This window comes from Homo sapiens, chromosome 6 (assembly GCF_000001405.40).
Source record: "Homo sapiens chromosome 6, GRCh38.p14 Primary Assembly".
Taxonomy (NCBI): Eukaryota; Metazoa; Chordata; class Mammalia; order Primates; family Hominidae; genus Homo; species Homo sapiens.
In genome coordinates this window covers 84,419,552-84,434,547 of record NC_000006.12, presented here as the reverse complement: position 1 = coordinate 84,434,547, position 14,996 = coordinate 84,419,552, and the positions used below count along the sequence as shown (strand labels likewise).

Here is a 14,996-nt window from a genome sequence, read left to right as displayed (position 1 = left end):
ACAGTGAAGCTACCTTTTTACTCACAAAGAAAATCTGCTAATAATAGAAGTAAAATTGAATATTTGGTGAAATTGACATTTTCATGCCAAGAAATAGGCATGATTATTTATTCCCAATAGCTTGTAGGATTTAGCATTAAAGAGAAATTGCAAGAATCAATGACTGTCTAAAGATAATGTCTACTGACTTGCATGGGAAACACATTGATATAAAAAGAGGAAATATGCAAACCTTTTGTAGTAATAAATGCATTCATAAAGGCAGCTATCAGAAATAACTCAATGCATTTGGGCATTTTAATGCATGCATAATATTCTTAATTAAGAATGATATGTATTTTTAATCTCAAAAATAAGATTTCTTTTACCTATTCTTTTATGACCAAATGGTTTATCTATGAGACAAGTCAGTTAAAAAAGTAGTTTCTTCTTGAAATATAGCCTCATATATGCAAAAGTTGTGACATTAGTAGATTTATAGATTTTAATTTAAATTAATTTGGGTTATTAAAATTTTGACTGGAATGCATGACATAATGCATCCTAATCCTAGCTATTATTCTGAGACATGAATTGGGTTTTCACTTACCTTGATAATTTAATATGATAGGCTTCATTAGCAGCATGAATTCAAAGAAAGACTAATTTATCATAACAATTATTATATTTTTATTTTTCAACAAAAATACACACTTCCTTTTCCAAAATTACCAGGCTTTCCTCCCTTCTGCCAATGCTAAAGCTTAATTAATGTAAATATTGCTCATCTTTCAAGATGATAACTGGATTTTGCAATCACCTTAAAACTTTGTTAGTTTTTTAGAAACCTCAACTAAAAATTTCAGCACATTTAAAGTGACTATAGTTCATACCAATGTTTCCTGAATAAAGAAATTTCTTTATTAGCTCCTCAAATACTACCTTATCATGAAAATGCCCTCTTTATAGAGTCAGACAGACTCTATCCTTAAATTGAGAGCAGGAAATAATGGATTTGTAGATTTTTTTTAGATAATAAGCTCCTATTTATTTTATATAGCAAACATTTATTGAGTATCTACTTTATATGAAACACTATGTAAATCCTTGGGTGGGATTAAAAAATGAATAAGGCACAGTCCCTGTCCTCAAGGGACTTATAATCTAGTAAAAACATAAGGCATTGAAAAGGTATGTGGAAGAGGGTGAGGCTGGTAACTGGGAGCTAGGACAGTTTAATGTTGAATATGGTAGTAACCAGCAACAGGATCCCAAATTAGTATTTTGCCGTGGTAGTAGCTGATTTTATTTTGGTATGGGTCATTGCAAATTCGTATGCCATGCCCAGATTTAAAGCCATATCTGGGAAAGCTGAAAATGAACAAGCAAAAACAACAATAAAATAAAACATGTCACACATTATTGGAGAGGGGGTGCTAATAATAATGAAGGTGGAAATAAATGCCTCAGCCTACGAGTCTGGAGATTGGGAAGTCAGCAGCCCATTTGTCACTTCTGTTTAACTTTGAACAAGACACTTAATCTTTTTGCAACATAATATATCCACCTTTGAGATGATGCTAAAAATGTCTATTAATAGGGGTGCTAGGAAGACAGTAGTGTTAACATTTGCTTATTTAATGAATGCTACTTGCTAGGTTTAAATGGCCTATAATGCTCTACATGCATCATCCTATGTTGTGTTCTATGTGTAGGGCACTCCCTGAAATTGTGCAACTTAGGCAGCTGGTTGAAACATCTTTCCCAAGATAGTAAGCTGGGATTTAAACCCAGCAGTCCTGCTTGTGAATTCTTGGTCTTAAACACTAAGCAGCACTGTCTCTCTGAGGATAAAGAGAAGATAAACAAGTAGAAATATCAGATGTGATGAAAATACTGCAAGTTATGAGATTACAGTACACTTACTTCCTTGCATTGTATGGCAGAGAAAAGTCATTCTCCAGGCAAAGGTTTTTTCAAGACTATCCATTATTTTTTGTAAGGCTTAGTCCAATTTCTTTCAAGGATTAATCCTTTCAAATCAGCAGTGCTTGGAGAAGCCTCCTCACTAACAAAAGCATTGACAAGTCTCAACTGAATCATACTGTCTGAACCAATAATGCAGGGATATAATATCTCAGGTGGGACGGACATAATGGATTTCCCTGTCAATAGGTCAGTGAAAAGAGGCGCGGCTGGCTAGGTTATTAAGTGCACTAATTTATTTTAGCACATTCTTTATTCTTTGATGTGATGTAATAAATAAACATATAGAATTCAATCATAGCTTTTCCATTTCAATATCATGAAAGTTGGTTTCATGGGGTGGTTAGGGAAGATAGTGGATATTAATCTATCCATCCATCCACCATTCACTCAGGAAAAACATTTGTTGTATTGTAGTTCTAGGGTTCAAAGATGATTGAGAAATGTTCCTGCCCTCAGATAGCTGGGAGGATGGAGAGAGACAAATCAAAAGATAATTAACACTTTGTCGCAAGAACCAAAATAAAAGAAGAAATTATGGGAGATAAGCCTGCAGAAGAAGAAGAGACTGGGAGGGAGGGAGGGAGGGAGGGAGGGAGGGAAGGAAGAAAGGAAGGAAGGATGGAAGGAAGGAAGGAAGGAAGGAGGGAAGGAAGGAAGGGAGGGAGGGACGGAGGGAGGGAGGGAAGGAAAGGCAGGCAGGCCATGGTCTACACTTGCTGATGTTCTTATTGTTGTTCAAAGGAGGTTCCCTGGGTGGGGCCTGAGAGGAAAAACAGGAAACAGAAAGGTAAATCATCCTTCGTTTGGAAAGTCCTTCCTGGAGATTTGTAAGATCAGAGGTCCTGGAAATGTGGCAGATGACTGACTCAGGAGAGAGAATGGTCCGAGTGAAGGGAGGATTGTGTAGGTAGTGGTGTGGAAGGACAGGGCAGGTTAAGAAAATAGTTAGTCATTTTGTGTTCATCTTTAAGTTGTTCCCTGTGGGGTACTCTCTGTTGTGTTTGCTTGTGGTGCTTCGGAGGAATGGAGAAAGAGAATGATATCTTGTGTGAGCGAAAGCTGTGGCCCCTCAAGAGCAGGACCCACATCTGCTTTGACCACCTTCACATCCCAGTGCTGAGAACAACGCTGGGCACATGCTGGGGCTTCAATATGGAAGAAAGAGCAAAAAGAGGGTTTGTGAGAACATTTCATATGTGGGAGTATTCATTAGTGTATCCATTGTGAAAACTAATCTGGTCATGTCTATTAAATAAAATCATGTGCCCTAAGATCCAGCAATATCATTTCTGAGAAACTATAGGCCAGAAATAAAATTACCGGTATGAAAGAATTTGTATACAGAAATGCTAATAGCAGCATTGTTGGAGGGTGGTCAAGAAATAAGGACAGTCTAAATGTCTATCAAAGACATTTGATAGATAAGCAGACAGGTTCTAAAGCTCAGGCTCTGGAACCTGTCTGCTTGGATTTAATCTGGGTCCCACCACTTACTAACTACAGTATGTGACGTGGGTAGGTTATTTAGACTACCAGCGATTCAGTTTGCTCATCTGCGTATTGATGATGACAATAATATCTACTTCATATGTTTATGATAAAAAGTAAAGGAAATCATTCAGGTAGGGTGCTTAGAACAATGTCTTGCTCTCGATAAATATTCTCATTAGTGGGGGCGTGCATGGGACAAAGAAAAGCGAAGCCGGAGCTGCCAGCGCTTTGTCTACCTGCGGTGTCTCAGATTCATTCTTAAGGAACTGAGAATTTAATCTTCCAAAATGCCAAAAAGACCATCTTATGCCCCATCTCCCACCCCAGCTTCTGCAACACAGATGCCCAGCACACCAGCGTTTGCAGGATACAATCCATACTGTCATCTTGCCTACAGCAACTACAGGCTGGGAGGGAACCCAGCCACCAACAGCCGGGTCAGGGGGTCCTCCAGTATTACGATTCCAAAACCCCCAAAGCCACCAGATAAGCCGCTGATGCCCTACATGAGGTACAGCAGAAAGGTCTGGGACCAAGTAAAGGCTTCCAACCCTGACGTAAAGTTGTGGGAAATTGGCAAGATTATTGCTGGCATGTGGCAAGATCTTGCTGATGAAGAGAAACAATATTTAAACGAATATGAAGTAGAAAAGATAGAGTACAATGAATCTATGAACGCCCATCATAATTCCCCCGTGTACCTCGCTTACATAAATGCAAAAAGTCTTGCAGAAGCTGCTTTAGAGGAAGACAGTCAACCCAAACAGTCTCACATGGAGAAAGGAGAACCTTACACGAGCCTTCTCTGCTGAAGATCAGTTGATTATGATGATGGCTTTTCAATGAAGATACAGCCACCGTCCGTTTCCAGAGAAACCGCCGCCTCATCAGTGAAATCCTTAGTGAGAGTGTGGTACCAGAGGTTCAGTCAGTTGTCACAACAACTAGAATGCAGGTCCCCAAACAACAGGTCCAGTCCTTAATGGTTCATCAGCGAAAACTAGAAGCTGAACTTCTTCCAAAAGAGGATCGACACCAGGAGAAGGCGAAATTCCTGGAAAGCACAGATTCATTTAACAATGAACTTAAAAGGTTGTGTGGTCTGAAGATAGAAATGGATCTGGAGAAAATTGTAGCTGAGATGGCACAGGCAGAGGAACAGACCCACAAAAGGCAGGAGGAAAGGGAGAAGGAGGCAGCAGAGCAAGTTTAGTGCAGTGAGAGCAGCATCATTCCTGAGGAAGAGCCAGTGGCCAACAAAGGCGAGGAAAAAAAAGACAATGAGAACATTCCAATAGAGACAGAGGAGACACGCCTTGAAGAAACAACAGAGCCAACAGAACGGTGAAGAAGGCAAATCTACTGAGGACAAGGAGAGTGGGCAGGAGAGGGTCGACAGTATGGCAGAGGAAGGAACCAGTGACAGTAACATTGGCTCAGAGAGAAATGGTGCAACAGTGGAGGGGCCACCAAGAGATCCCATACTAGAAGATGAGAAAAAAGAGTAAATGCTGCCTTGTTTTATGTGTTCTAAATACTTTTTTAAGTGAAAAAATGGTTTTTAGTTTCAATGGTAAAAGAAATTCTCCTTACTATCATGTATTATTATTATTTGCTCATAAGAAAGAACACAGAGAAAAGTGTAAAAATGTATTCACCACACTATAAGCCTTGGTGATGGGACTAGAGAGAGAGAAGTTATTAACTTTATATATACACCATGCTCTACTGTTTAATTTATTCTAAGACACATGTGTTAACATAGTAATTTGAAAATCAAATCCAATACAATATTTTAAAAGAGTAAAAACAAAATAGAAAAAATGATGAGGTAGACCAGCCCTACAATATCTTAAGGTGTTTTGAAGAAACAGGTGGCTCTAGTAGTTAAATAAATTCCAGTGGGATAGAATGGAAAGGTCTGAAATAGGCTCCAGTGGATATAAGGCTTTATTATAGGCTAAGGTAATATCTCTAATCTTTACAGAAAGGTGGGATTATTAAAAATGGTACAGAAACAGTTAGCTCTTTGGAAAAAAAAATGTCGATTTTCTCCCCAGTACCTTAAACTGAAATAAAAAACAGATGCATCAAAAAGTTAAGTACTTAAAAAACAAAGGAAAGGCAGAAGAATATTTTTCTGATTTTGAGGTAAAGAGAGCCCTTTTAAGAATGCAAAGAAACAAATCTTAAGGAATAAAATAGAAATGGCTATATAAACATTTAAAACTTCTGTATAACTTCCTTATCCAAGTTTTAAAAAACTATGAATTAAAAGACAAATGTAAACCTGAAATAATACTCATAATGTACTGACCATAAAGATAATTTATAAATAATATGACAATGATGAACACCCCAGTATAAAGAGAATGGGCAAAAGAAGTGAGAAGACAATTTGCAAAAGCAGTACAGATGAACATGCAAAAAACCATTCAGTGTTTTTTAATAACCAAACCGAAATTCAAACAAGAAATACCATTTTTACTTATAAAATTTATCCCTTTTAAAGGTTAACGTCTAGAAGACTGCTTTAATTCGTAAAGTGTCAAATGCCTCCATCCTGGTAGCAGCCATCGCCACCTGTTGGTGGCACTCAGAGGTGACTCGGGTTTGCTCTGAGTTACAGCTTTGCCTTTCGGAGAAAGCTTCTAAATCAAAAGTTAGAAACTTCTGTATCTCTATGGTGTGGTATGTGGGGAAATGGCTTTTTCAGTCTATGCTGCCACAGGGATAAAACAGTACATCTACAGAGAGCATTTAGCAATATAAAAATCATTTTATCTGTTAATAAATTATGATTTAATGAGTTTGCATGAAACTATAAGAAAATAATCTCACACAAGAGAAAGAAACCATCTACTATCAACAGCAGATCTGTTAAATAAATTAATTTAATTTAATGAATTTAATAAAACTGATATATAAAAACATGAAAAATATTTACTACATCAAGCTAAGCTGTGGGGAGGGGAAGGAAATGGCAAAGTTCTATGTAGATTTAAGTCAATTTTCTTATTTTATGTCTGAAATTATACATGGAAAATGCTGAAAGTGATTATCTCTGGGATGTAGAATTAGAAATGTTTTAATTTTCTCTTTTCCTCTGGGCATGTGTGTGTTTTATTTTTTATATTTTCTACAATAAATACAGACTACTTTTGCAACTAGAAAAGAAAATTCTGTAGAAAATGATGGCAGTCAGGGGCAGGGAAGAAAAGCAGTCTATAGATTTCCTAAGTTCTTTTAGTCGCTGTAATAGGTGAAAGTGACAAAATGAAATTTCTGAGTGTCAGAAGCTGGACCATAGCCGATCATCACTTACTGTAGCTGCCCTGGTGTCCCTGTCAGCCCTATGGCTGTCATTTCTCTTCTGCCCCAGACGGGGCCCATTTTCTTTCCAATCCAATTTTACGGAAACCTCCAGCATCTAAAGTCTGTGTTCCTTGTCTATCTGCCTCTGTGGGACAACAAACCCCCATTCCTGCCAGCCTTTAATTCCCATTTCAGAACCTGATTCCTCTAAAAGGTTTTCCCAAGTTTGACTGCTATTCTCTGCTATCTCACCAGCACAATCTGTGATCTTGTGTAAATTAACCTCTCTGTGAATCAATTTCCCCACAAAGTGGGAATAATAAAAGTACCTACATCATAGGGTTGTTGTGATAATTAAATGAATTACTATTTGTAAAATGCTTACAATAATGCCTGCTAAATAGGTAAACCACAATAAATGCTGGCTACAATTTAGCAATTGTTCTTTTATTATTTTTCCAGATTCCATTTCATAGCACTGTACTTCTATAAAATATTAATAGGTATACTATTACATTAAAAGAAAAACTAAAGAAAGTGAGAGAAAGGCCATCCTAAACAAAATTAGTAGGGTTCTTTACTGCAAAATTAATAGGATTTATACTAAATCTGAATGAGTGAGATAACTGTGGAGGGTTTTCCAAAGTTCTGTTTTTTAGAAGTCCCTAGACCCCTTTTCTTAAATTATCTTAATGAATGGTTGAATTTCACTCTTGGGAAGGCTGTATTTGTTTGTTTGTTTATCATTTATCAAACATTTGTCTTTCTACTCCTCTTCACTTCTGCTCAGTTCAAGGCCTGCTTGCTTTTACTTTTTTTTTTTTTTTTTACTTTTAAATCGATTCGTTAGTTATTTTGAAAGCACTCTGAGATAAGAACTATATGAATGTAAGGGGATGGCTTGTTTCTAAACGAATTGCATTCCTGAGGCACAAAAACCTTCTTGCCAAGCTCATGAGAGTTTGAAATAAATTTTTATTGAAGGAAGAATGAGCAGATGAATGCAAGAAAAACTACCTCACAGTCTAAAATAACGAATTCACCAATTGTTTTAGAAAGCTTATTAAAGCAGAGGTTCTTAGAAGGGAGACTTCATTCTAACATGAAATGTGTGTGTTGCATATATAATTTATACTATGTCGCTGTTGTTGATGTGTTTTTAGAAGTATAACTCAAGAAAGCCTTGCAAATAGCTCAAAAATACCCAGCACATTTGTGTCATAACGAGTACCTCAAAGCCCATATGAGTGCAAACACAAGGGCTGACTCAGGCAGTGATCTTGGCTGTCTGCTCTGTTTGGGCTCTTGGCATATTGCGATCAATGACATGGAATCTTCTACTGATTCACAGTTGTTTGAGTGGGACACATGCAGGTGGTCTGGGCTTGTAAGCTTGGAGGCTCACCGGGTCCTCAGTATACAATCTCCACTCTTGTTCCACCCCTAGGTAGGCTTTTTGGTACCTGACCCTTGGTCACCCAAACAATGTGTTTAGACCCAGAAAAGGAGTTTTATCTAAATTACAGGATGCCTGGGGCTGCCTGCCCTTTGCAGATGATGGATGTAGATTAGCTGATCTAAACAATTAGTTAAGGAACAATCTGATCCCTAGTGACAATTAGGATGTTTAAGGCATCCTGCTGACAGCTGTGGTGACAGCGGACAGTAAAACTACCCTTCACTGAAATCAAGAAACTGGGTCCTTATGATTTACAGGCAGTCCCCTCCCCCTCTTCCCCATATGGGCTTTTAAAGGACTTAAAAATGACTGAAAGGAGCTGCTGCTATGTAGTGGAAAATGAAGAAATGGCAACCTATAATTCTAGCTGAATCATTTCTCAGATCTAGCTCTTCAGAGGACTAAATGGGGAAAACAAAGAAAACTGATAGGGTCCACTTCCCCTGAAATAAGTTGATTTTAAAATGTAAGTCAAGATATTTTCAGAGACAGCACATATGGGGATCCCCTTGCCTTTTAGTTTTCCCATGCATGAAAGCGTTCTGCAGTTTAAAGAGCGATACGTTCTTACCCTTTACTAAATAAGTTTAGGATAACAGAGTTTAGAGCAAATACTTTATTCAGGGAATCTCGAAATCCTAAAATGCCAACAGAGTACTATTGTTTTGCTACCACTCAAAAAGGAAACATTTTAAACATAAATGCTCTGAAGAAAGAATTAATTTTTTGAATTTAAAATATTTTGTATATTTACATAGGATCGGTTCCCAATTCCTCTATCAATTGAATAAGCCTGTGAATGTGCTCCAAGCTGGCTCCTTCCCTAAAGAAAAGAACACATTTCTCCAGAGAGGATTTTGAGGAATGTGTCCAAATCCTAAATCCCTTCTTCCCCAAGAGAAAAAAAAAAATGGGAGAGAATCAGGACATGGATTTCTATTTCAACTCTTCTTTCTTAGATCTTTGAATTATGGGATATTAAAAATAAACCTAGAGGATATTGCAATGAATTTTTGGAGCAGCTGGAAAAGAAACCATAAAACGAGTGATTACAATCAGCAAAGTGTGATAACAGCTGAACGCATTAGACCCATCCTTAAAAAGCCAGACCCCACCCCCTCCCCTCTTGAGCCTGTTCGATAGAGAAGGGGATGTCACACAATACAATCCAAACACATACTCTGTCCATATTGGGTTAAGAAAATATAGTGCTGGTCATTGTCCCCAAATGACAGACATCCACAGATGGAAAGCAGGAGAATCTGACTTCCACGGTGCTTCTCATTCCACCAGACAGATTCTGTTTGGAAAACACCCACCTGCACTAGGATCTGGCCTGAGTACTATTAAAAAAAAAAAAAAAAAAATTCTTCATCATGGTCACTGCCTTGTAGAAGGAAGCTTAACTTCTCTTTGTACGTCTTCCTTTGGTAAAGATAGTGAAAGGAAAGCCCTAAAGGCATGTAACCTTTTCTTGCCTTCATTGTTTAAGTAGGGAGGGTTCCCCCTTAAAGGAGTCTTGTTCTTTCTAATGCAGAACACAAAAATTGTCCTATTGAAGGAATGCCTGTTTGATGTGTGAGTATAACATTTCACTTTTCCAAGTTGTTATCTGAATGCATTCAAAAATTATTTAAGCAACAATGGAGGGAAAAAAGGTGAAATTTGGTTCAAGGAAAATAGAATTTTGAAATATCTGCCTTAAACTGTATGTTTTTTTCTTGTCATAACAGCTTTGCATTGAAAATCCAGTTTCACACTGTGACAATTTTATTTTCTTACTTGCAAATTTTTAAAACTGGAAAATTTTTCTTCACTAGGAGGTTGCGACTATGACGTGTAAACAGACAGTCAAAGAAAAAGAGACTATGCTTGCATATCTATGAAAAAGATCATGCCCAAATATAGAAAGAGAATTTCAAAGCAGACACCATATGTTTAACTCTATCTTCAAACATAACCCTTTATATCTTCAGGTTTTCACCTATTATTTTGAGATTATACACATATGTCTTCTGTATTTAGCAGCCTTCACTTAGGGAACTCATTTTCAATGCACGACATTGAATACATAATTCTCTCAAAAAGAATGAAACTTTTAATTTTTAAAATTTTTATTAATTTAATTAAACTTATTTATTAATTTATGGAGTACATGTGATATTTGATACAAGGATACAATGTGAAATGATCAAATCTGGGTAACTGGGATATCTGCCACCTCAAACATTTATTCTTTCTTCATGAAGAGTAACGCTTTCTTAGGGTCAGGGGCATCAAAGTTTTTCCCAATATAGCTCTTGGTTTCCTTTTTAAACCCAAATATTTGTGTAGAAAAAATATAAAATGTCAACGTTTAAATAGTAAATTAGATTGACTCTTTCAGATTTGTTGAGTATATAAATCTGACATTAATGAGATATTAATGAATAGTTCTGGAAATTTGGCATCTCAAAATTAATCCAAGTAGATACAGTATCTGTTTATTCTAACTGGGATTTTAAAATCCTGACACTCTCCAACCCTCCCCCCACCCCCCCGACAAAAAAATGCTTGTCTATATAATCAATTTTATATTATGTAGGAGTATATTTATCTACGGTTTCTTTTTAAAAAACTTTTTAAAGTTAAGATTAAATTTTTTTACATTAAAATAAAACTTTCTTTAAAGATTTAAAGACAGTTGCTTGACAAAAATTTATGTACATATATCTCCTGGGCAATTTTATTTATAAGGACTTATTAGACAATTGTTTAGAAAAATTAAAAATAGTCTGTTCAATGAGTAATACGCAAAATTTTTTTAAATGATGATAGAGCCATGAATAATGAGATTTTCTAAGAGTATTTAATAATTTGGGAAAGTGCTCATGATATGATATTAAGTAAAATGAATAAGATAAAAAATGGTAGATATGGTTCATATGGGAGGATATTTTCTTCTTGGTAATGGAAGATGCTGATGGTTGACCAGACCACTGTCTTTAAGGCTCCATTTTAAAATGAATCATATGTATTTTTGTAGCTGTGAACCTTATCCTCTATGCTTCTTTCCCTTTGAAAATCGAGCACTCTCTTTTTTCCCTTTACACAGAGCAATATATCTGCCCAGTAAAACAATAAAAATGATGGAAATTATTTGGGTAATGGAGATTAATTTGCAGTTTATTCAAAGATTTTGCATCTTTCTTTAATGCTTTCAACAGGGCATAGTCCAGGGTGCTAAACTAAAACAAAGGTGCTAGCTTGAAATCTTCATTTATTTAAAATCTATTCACCTTCCTTCTTTTATCATGAAAAAATACAGTAACTCTGACTTCATTAATAACTAAATTACCTTGAATCTTTGGATTTTAAAATTGTATTATATGGCATAATTTATTAAAAGGTTAAAAGTGGATTTCTAGGAGTTTAGATATGAGCGGTTTTTTTAACCTAAAATATTTTCAGGAAAAAAAGTAATTCAAACTTTGAAATTATATGATAGTGCTATTATTCTTTTTATCCCAAACCTTCATTTCTATCAGCTGTATAAACATACTTGAGAGAGCTAAGTATACAAATGTCCAACCAATTTCTAATTACTTAGTTATTTTCATCATTGCTGACGGTCAGTGGGTTTTCAATGTAAATATTTTACATGTACAATGAGAAAGAGACACAAGAACGAAAGCTTGAGAGGGTTCATTCTCTGCTGCTTGCAATAGCGCGTGGAGGACGAGGGCGGGCAAATCTGGGCCTTAGAGCGCCACCCCATGGTAGACTGGGCGAAGGGCACTGCAGGGGTGTGCTCGGCCCTTTGGCCCAATATTCTCCGCTTTGTCCGCCTGAAGAGCTTCCTTCACTCGGCTTATTTAAAACATCAACAACTCTAAATAACTTACCTTCTCTGCACCAGTGGTTGAGTAATTGCTGAATTTAGGAATCCCTTTGAGTATTTCGTACTCTGACTTTTAGAAAAGGCTTCCCCACGCCTGCCTCCGCCCAACCCCAGGATAAAACACAAAATGTGTGGGGATCTGAGTAAATAAATAATCTCACAACAAGGAAAGTCTGTGAGCTTGTGAGCCTGGGCTACAAAATTCCCTCTCACAAAAAGTCTGGTTTAATTATCAGCTTCAACATCTACCATCAGCATTCATACTGTCTCTACGTTGTTACTTTGCAAAAGATCATAAGATTGGCTAAAATTGCCAAAACCAGTAAACAAGAATAAATGCAATTAAACTTTCTGGGGTGTTAAACCAGAATTTGCACGTGTGGGTCGTTATCAGCTTAGAAAATTAGAAAATAAGGAACAGTACAGAACAGGATTAGAAAATTAGGAACAAAAGCAAGGCACTGTGAAATGGCAATTAAATTCTTGCTTGACTTAAATACCTTTCTTTTATAACAGCTATACATCCCTTCCATTTTTATCCCAGTGATTTCTTTTATCTAAAGTAAAAAGAACATTACCTTTCTTGAGTTCATTCCAAAATTGTTTTTTAGGGTAACATGGAATAATACAATTGAAAATTCTGTGTGTCAGTTTCATACCACATTAGCGGAATAGAAATGTGTTAATAATGTTAACTCTTAAGGCTATTTGTTTGCATCAACTTTTAAAAATGTTTAAATTGTTGTTACCTGTTTCAATATTAGTAAGTTCTCAAGACTCCCACACACAATGGAAAAAAATTCATTTACAAATGTAACAAGCCCCAGTAGAGGCATTTCTTCAGGCAATTCCCAAGGAAAAGAATTGGGACAAGGAGTCAGATGCAGGGGCCCCATCTAGCATTTCCAGATCTACACACCCCCTTTCTGTCAAAAATCTTCCAGGTGACTTCACAAATGGCTTTTACAGGTATAATTGGGGTGAAAACCAGCAACATTAGGTGAGGAGATATAAATTCCGTAAAGAAAATAAAAAGTCAAACAGTGGAAAACTTCCCAGGAAAGCACTTGGAAAAGTGGATAGGAAGAGTAGTTACATGGCAGTTTTCTGCCCGTCCCACCCTCCCTTCTAACGACTTCTTTTATGTCAACAGAACTGCCACTTTACTTATCTCAGGATTTCTCTTTTTCAGGAATGGTGATGGTATGAAGAAAGTATTTTTAATGAGCAGAGCCATTGTTTGCTCTGCTCTGTCCTCACCCCTCAAGAGAATTTCCCTTATTATTATGAAAACTTTTTATCTTAAAAGATATTACATGTTAATGGAACTGTCGTTTAACAAATGTTTTATAAGTGTACCAATCAAGCACATTGTCGAAATAAAAGATATGAAATAAGTGAAAAAAAGTCTTTTTTATACTTTATAGTCCAATTTAACACTGCTATCTTTTTAAAAACTGCAGAATATAGCATACACAGGGAAGTATTTACTGTGTAAAGAATAATAATAAAATAAACTCACATGTAACCATCTGATTAAGAAAGAAGACATCTCTCCACTTTGGAAGTTCTCTACTGCCCCTTCTTCTCTACAGTAACCTTTATCCTGACTTCTGTGACATTCCTTCTCTTGTTCTTCTTCTTGTTGTTGTTTTTAAAATATAGTATTACTACCCAGGTAAGTATAAACCGAATTATTCTGCATGTTATCTGCTGACCTTTCAATGCCACTTGGAAGGAGAAATCTGTCTCCTCCAAGGTGTAATTTGTAGAGACGTCATCATGTACTCCCACCTTTTTCCTATCCAAAAGACTCAAGTTTCCCAAGACCCACATCCCTTTCCTAAGAAGACTTCAGTGCTCTTAATTCCAGTTTACCCTGTGAGATTCTTAAGCTGTAGATGATGGAGTGCATGTGGATAGCTAATAACCAGTGCATTCTATGGATGCTCTGAAAATGCCTGCCCTGAGTCTAGGCTAATATGTAGGAAAAGTGGGTGGACAAATGTTGTTTAATTTCAAAGCATTAGACCCATCATTCTGTTATCTCAAAATATGTCTCAAAATCAGGCTAATGCCCAAGTGTTATAATTTGGAGCTTTATTGCTTCGACCTAACACTGTGTTTTGAAAGATGCCCTCAGATGGGCATCCTCATCTGCTTTATCAACTGTGCATTCTTTATTGTAAAAGAAGGTCTTAGGCTGGTTTCTGGGATCATGTTTTCAAAGGGGACATAGGTGAGGCTATCAGTACAGAAGGGATCAGTAATGGGACCTCTTGAGGATCTGCCACTTGATGACTGAATAGCCACGCCAGGTAGAAAAGTACTTTGAACCTAACGTGCAGGGGACCTATTGTGCTGCAGCTTTGAATAGTGGTGGTGTTTGATTGTGATACATGCTGGCCTCCTGAGTCAGGTGGCACAAGAGCAAGTTTCCTTCCCAAGTCTCTTCTGGAGTTTTGCTTCAAAAAGAAACCTATAATCCATGCAGAAGGTCAGCGACTGGAACAGTGTTAAAAGAAAACTACTGAAAGAATTTGCCAACACCTTGGACAGACTAACCCAACAAACATCACCTACTCTAGTAAACACACTAAAGCCTCCTGCAAAAGAATTGTATGATGTTTTTATTTGCAAGGTATGCCTAGGAATGTCAGAAAAGAATTTTTCCAGCACTACACAGTCTCTTGTACTGCCCCAGAGCCTTAGCTTGATTTAGATTTGGAAACAAAATATTATATCCATATCAAGCCCCACTAGACAGAGTCCTCTGGGATCAACAATGTCACTGAAATTGGAGCTTGTCTCCTAAATTTCCTATCTAGTCCTGCCTTAAATCCTTCTACTAAATTTCACTCCTACAGATAATGAGAGTTAGCA

General features: G+C 36.8%; 2 long non-coding RNA genes and 1 pseudogene across 3 annotated transcripts in view, besides 1 other annotated feature; 2 read left to right on the top strand and 1 right to left on the bottom strand.

The window, feature by feature from the left end:
* The window catches only part of LINC01611 (long intergenic non-protein coding RNA 1611), a 53,902-nt gene extending 40,382 nt beyond the window's left edge, over window positions 1–13,520 (top strand). Inside the window, exon 5 of the long non-coding RNA NR_132100.1 lies at window positions 13,306–13,520. This is a non-coding gene — a long non-coding RNA (long intergenic non-protein coding RNA 1611). The remainder of the gene's footprint in view (window positions 1–13,305) is intronic.
* Window positions 1–14,996, bottom strand: part of LOC107986620 (uncharacterized) — a 175,866-nt gene that overhangs the window by 94,110 nt on the left and 66,760 nt on the right. The gene's annotated exons all lie outside the window — the stretch shown is intronic.
* SMARCE1P2 (SMARCE1 pseudogene 2) lies at window positions 3,656–5,034 on the top strand (annotated as a pseudogene).
* Window positions 9,427–9,992: an enhancer, noted in NCBI's record as "OCT4-NANOG hESC enhancer chr6:85134274-85134839 (GRCh37/hg19 assembly coordinates)". NCBI's record gives its function as "activates a minimal SCP1, AML or CMV promoter by ChIP-STARR-seq in naive H9 embryonic stem cells {active_cell/tissue: H9 hESC(naive)}" and the evidence as "EXISTENCE:reporter gene assay evidence [ECO:0000049][PMID:30033119]".